At 34.1% G+C, this 6,000-nt stretch overlaps 1 long non-coding RNA gene across 1 annotated transcript in view, besides 1 other annotated feature; it reads left to right on the forward strand.

Moving 5' to 3' along the window:
* Positions 1-4,186, forward strand: part of LINC02008 (long intergenic non-protein coding RNA 2008) — a 477,534-nt gene extending 473,348 nt beyond the window's left edge. The window contains exon 9 of the long non-coding RNA NR_147146.1: positions 3,427-4,186. This is a non-coding gene — a long non-coding RNA (long intergenic non-protein coding RNA 2008). The remainder of the gene's footprint in view (positions 1-3,426) is intronic.
* Positions 2,310-3,509: an enhancer, noted in NCBI's record as "CDK7 strongly-dependent group 2 enhancer chr3:82510950-82512149 (GRCh37/hg19 assembly coordinates)". NCBI's record gives its function as "activates an origin of replication core promoter dependent on BRD2, BRD4, P300/CBP, MED14 and CDK7 cofactors, with strong dependence on CDK7, by STARR-seq in HCT116 cells {active_cell/tissue: HCT116}" and the evidence as "EXISTENCE:reporter gene assay evidence [ECO:0000049][PMID:35650434]".
* Positions 4,187-6,000: the final 1,814 nt, after the last annotated feature.

Raw genomic sequence — 6,000 nt, forward strand, 5'->3', positions numbered from 1 at the left:
CCTTATGACCCATAGTTGGAGAAGGTTTTCAATAATACTGTTTTCCTTAAGCAACCATTTTGCCAAGACTCCAGTGAGTTAGACCATCTACATAAATTAAAAAGAATAACTGTAATTTAGCAGGAAATAGGGATGAATTATTTGGTGTATACTATATCTCACCTTTTGGGGAGTTTTTTTCCATTTTTATTTTCCAACCTTTTTTTTTTCTGATTTTGGGACTTTGGATCAAGTTACTTTTATGACAAATTCAGATGCTTCTTTAAAAGTTAATATAAGTTGGTTTTCCTGTTTAGATATGTTTTGAATAGCTCTCTTTGCTACCTTCTCAGCTAGCTGATTTCCTCTGCTTTCTGGAGTATCTGATTTGGAATGACCTGGGATTTTAATAATGGCCAGTGATTTTGGCCAGCAGTAGCTGTTAGGCCTATTAAGTGGCTCAAGTACTTTACATGTAACTACTTTACCTGTTTTTGACAAAATCAAAGTTTCTGTTTTTAGATAACTTTCATTTTAGATAACCTTGCTTTAAGGAAAGGTCATCATTGCTGTATTTTCTTCCAGTTGACTACCTTTTGGAAGACTAAAGGCATGGCTACAAGCAGAGCCTTTGCAGTTTCACAGGCATGCCTGCAGTCTTCTTCTGAACCTGTACGGAAATCCTCTAGGGGATTTATCTAAAGGGCTCTATCTATCAATCCTTAGCCTTACTTTCTGAAACTAACATGTGAACTAGTTGATATAAATCAGAAAAGCAGGGTCACACGCTTGAATATTTAGTTTAAATTCTTTGGCAAAGTCAGTAGAGTCCTGATGAGGATTGGGAAAATCCTTAATTATGCCTTTAAGTTCTATCTTTGGCCATGGCTGATAAAGGCAGGTTCCTGCCCCTTGAGACACACTGATTGTTGATGAAACAAGGCCAGAACCATCAGGGACAGGAGGTGAAGAAAGGGAAGGCAGATCAGGGTAACGTAAGTCAGACAGTAAAGGGGAAGGAGGAAAAGGAGCTAAGGGAATAGAAGGAGAAGCTTCAGAGGGAGAAGCTTCAGCAGCCTTTTTAAATTAGGAAAATGTTTTAGATAATCTTTTGTTTTCTCTCTGTAAAGAAATAACTTTATAAGAACCTCTTTTGGACCCTTCCAAATACCACTGGAAAAAACTCTTCCAATTATTCTCTTTTATTCTAGAGCTGGCATTTACTAATTGAAAGCACAAATGAACTAGTTTAGGCACTTCAAAGATACCCTGCCTTGGCTATTTCAATTTAGGGTTGTCACAAGTTATATATGACTATTTATCTAAATCACAACAAGAGGTCGCACCATAAGTATTTTACAGGAATTCAACTGTAAATTGAATTCATCTGTAAATTGAAATCTAAAGATTCTAAAGGTGGTTTCCTCCTTAAGATGGACTCAGTTTTAGTTGGCTGATTGTTCATTATTTATATTTTCCTTGTAGGTGATCAAAGCTAAAAGGAAAGATGTTTCGGATCAAATGTACTGCTTATGGGAATAGCTCCCCAACATGTCGCCCTTTGTTCACTTCTTCTCTCTCATGTGTCACGATGAACGTCAGGAATTGTGGGCTGCTTAAAGCACTGGGAGTTCACCCTTCATGTGGGCCCACCAGTTTAAGCAAATTCCCCTGTATTTTTTTTCTGGCGGGGGAGGGATTCCCTATGAGACTTTTCTGTTTTGTTTTGTTTTGTTTTCATGAACTATAAACTCCAACCCTGCCACGTGACCTCAGTTGCGTGAGGTGCCTTTCGGCTGGGAAGAGCAGTCTTCTTTCATCTTTGGGGCTTCTCACATTCTCATTAAGGTCTTTTAAATATATTCTTGGTCACTCAAAAAAAGAATTTAAATGTGCCAATATGAACTGAGCTTCAGAACTTGACAGTTTTAAATCGCAAATTTTGCTTAAGCCACCGACATTCACTCTCTTTCTCTTTAACCAGATTTGCATGAGAGAAAAGCTTGCAGCTTTTAGCAAGTAAGACAAACAAAACCTTAACTTCAAAGAAGAGTGAACCACAAACATGCAAACAGCAGAATCTCTAGAGGAAAATCAAACACAACTCCTACCTTAAAGCAGTAGAGCTTAAATTCCAGCCCCATGGAGCATGGAATTGGGTCACTTGAATAAAGTCTGACTCTCACTTAAGCCAGGGTGATTTGGAACCCAAGAGGGGCCCTGCTAAGAGCTCCCACAAAATCCAGCAAAGTCGGTTGGATGGAAATTGTTTAGCCAGTAGCAGGTGCTGATTGATGAAGCAGAGGAGGTCAAGGCAAAGGTTCTCTTTGGGTCCCTTCCTGAGGCACCAAATATGTCAACCTGAAATAATCAAAAGGATCAGAGTCCGGTTTTAGAGTTTATTCAAGTGAAAAGCTTGTAAGAGCCATTCCAGAGACAGACTCCAGAGAAATGGAGTCAGTGTTCTGAAGTTAAAAGTTAAGTTCTTATATAGGAAGAAAACAAAGAAAATTAACAGATTTACAATATTTTCTCAATATGACTCATTTTTGAGTTACAGTTTAATCATTTATTTTTTTCCTGTATACCTTATTTCCATATCCTTACCAATTTAAAAGAGTATGCTTCACATACCATTTTAAGACAATATGATGGTCATGAAGTCTTTGTGTGGGAAAGGTAAGAGAGAAGTTAATCTATAATGAAAATCAACAATGAAAATGGAAGGGATCTTACCTGGTGCTTTTCAATGATTTAAAACATTTTACCAAACAACACAGGTAAGGGAGAGGCTAATCTATAATCATAGAAACAAAAATTACAGCTTTCTAGGTTACAGATGCCTGCCACGCAACTCAGACCTTATACTCACATTTATTTAAGGTTCAAAATGAGTTCCAACAGCTTACATTTTGAAGTAGTAATTTTCACACAACCAAAGCCTTGACTAGAATGTCATCTTTGAGAATGGTGCTCATTTAATGGGACATGACCAGAAACTTTTAAATAAGCGAGTTTGACTTTACAGAGGCAATGTTTACGAAACCTTCTTGGGGCGACTGCCATGGTCAATCACTTAAAATGGTTCCAAGCATTAAAATTGAGTCAGGAAAGTCACTCCTGGGAGGTCTAGGAACTTTAGCATATTTTGGACATCTCAGCAACATAGAATTTTTTCCAAATTAATTAGTACTGCAGATAAAATCTGGTAAAAATTTAGGGTTGGTTTCCTAGCTTCAAGAAGCTGTTAAGTCCAATTTAATTTTCCTTCTGTAAACTTCTAACAAAGTAATTCAAGAAGACCTAAATCGTAAACTATCATTCTTGTTGTACCTATGTTAGTAACTAGAATAGTGATACCAGCCTTATTTTGCAATAAAAATGATCTTTCCTTGAAGGTGCTTTTCATCAAATTGTTACTGGTGGTAAATCTGTATGTGTCCACAGCAACCTTAATTCCTGCCTCCTCAGAAGAAAGAATTTGACTAAGGAGCATAAGGCAGAAGAAGAGACAGAGGCAAGTTTCCGAGCAGAAATGAATGTTGATTTAAAAACTTTAGAGCAGAAATGAAAGGAAGTAAATTACACTTGGAAGAAGGCCAAGCTGGCAGATTGACAGATCAAGTGCACAGTTTGACTTTTTGACTTGGGGTTTTCTATGTTGGCATGCTTCCAGAGGCTTCCATCCCTTCCCCCGATTCTTCTCTTGGGGTGGACTCTTTGCCTGTACAGCGACCTACCAGCATGTGGGAGGGGTTGTACACGCAGTGTGTTTACTGGAGTTGTGCACATGCTCACTTGAGGTGTTCTGCCTGTACCAGCCTGAATGTTCCTAGGTCGTATACCAGTTAAACTCTGCCTTTTTGCCACTTAATGCACATGCTTGAGCCCACTCGCCCACCTCCTGAGATCTAATTGGGAAGCTGGTGATTACCAGTTTCAGGTTTGTCTGTTTATTAAGAGGTGTTTATTTTCCTTGGTGCTGGCTGTGACCAATTTTTTTTTTAGAGATACAGCTAACAACAGTCTGACTGTCATCTAATGGTCACCTGAATTCCTGGCGTGTGTGTGTGTGTGTGTGTGTGTGTGTGTGTGTGTGTGTCTGGTGTGCTCTCCTACTGTGCTCATGTCTGACCTACTGTAACCAAATGGGCCATCAAATTAGAGAAAATTTTTGTGTTTCAATAGAAACCTGTATTTTCTACAGTACTTTTTTGCAGGTTGTCAATTCCTGTTTTGCACCTCCGTAAATTCCTGATTACTGGCAAGTTTGCTACCACTGTCTTCCCTGATGGAGGTTCAATTTACATACACTCTACTCCCCACCGCGCCCCCCAAAAAAATCCAAAAAACTATTATGTGTCAGTTTGGGCATAAAATACCCAGATTAAACACTATTGCTTGATGAGTTTGTGATGGTGTTTCTGAATGAGATAAGCATTTGAACTGGCAGACTCAGTAAAGTAGATTAAACTACTAAATGTGTTTGGGTAGGGGACATCACCCAATCCCTTGAGGGCTTGAATAGAACCCCTCCTGCCTGAGTCCTTGAGCTGAGATATTGATCTTCTCCAGAACTGCTGGTTCTCAGGCCTTCTAAGTCAGACTGAATTATATCACTGGCTTTCCTGGGTCTCTAGCTTCCAGCAGATCAGTCATGGTGGGACCTTTCAGCCTTAATAATTGCATGAGCCAATGAGAAATAATAAAACCTCTTCACACATAGGTAGGTGTATGTGTATTTATGAGGGGTGTATATATATACCCACATACACATACCTATATATGAAGAGATTTTATTCTATGTGGAAAGAGAATACATATATATATATATGAAGAAGGTTTAATTGACTCATAGTTCCACGTGACTGAGGAGGGCTCAGGAAACTGACAATCATGGCTGAAAATGAAGGGGAATATATATATGTGTGTGTGTATATATATGTCTGTATATATAGATATATGTGTATATATATTTATATATATAGATATATGTGTATATATATATAAATATATGTGTATATGTATTTATATATATAAATATATGTGTATATATATATATATATGTGTATATATATAAATATATGTGTATATATATTTATATATATGTGTATATGTATTTATATATATAAATATATGTGTATATATATAAATATATTTATATATATAAATATATGTGTATATATATTTATAAATATAAATATATATAAATATATATTTATATATATAAATATATGTGTATATATATATATATATATGTATATATATTTATATATATATAAATATATATATATATATAAATATATGTGTATATATATATAAATATATGTGTATATATAAATATATGTGTAAATATATGTGCATATATATTTATATAAATATATGTGTATATATATTTATATAAATATATGTGTATATATATAAATATATGTGTATATATACATATATAAATATATGTGCATATATATAAATATATGTGTGTATATATTTATATATATAAATATGTGTGTATATATTTATATATAAATATGTGTGTGTATATATTTATATATAAATATGTGTGTGTGTGTGTATATATTTATATATATAAATGTGTGTGTATATATTTATATATATAAATGTGTGTGTATATATTTATGTATATAAATGTGTGTGTATATATTTATATTGTATATAAATGTGTGTGTATATATTTATATTGTATATAAATGTGTGTGTATGTATTTATATTGTATATAAATGTGTGTGTATGTATTTATATTGTATATAAATGTGCTGTGTATATATTTATATTGTATATAAATGTGTGTGTATGTATTTATATTGTATATAAATGTGTGTGTATGTATTTATATTGTATATAAATGTGTGTGTATGTATTTATATTGTATATAAATGTGTGTGTATGTATTTATATTGTATATAAATGTGTGTGTATGTATTTATATTGTATATAAATGTGTGTGTATGTATTTATATTGTATATAAATGTGTGTGTATGTATTTATATTGTATATAAAT

Source organism: Homo sapiens, chromosome 3, assembly GCF_000001405.40.
Source record: "Homo sapiens chromosome 3, GRCh38.p14 Primary Assembly".
Taxonomy (NCBI): domain Eukaryota; kingdom Metazoa; phylum Chordata; class Mammalia; order Primates; family Hominidae; genus Homo; species Homo sapiens.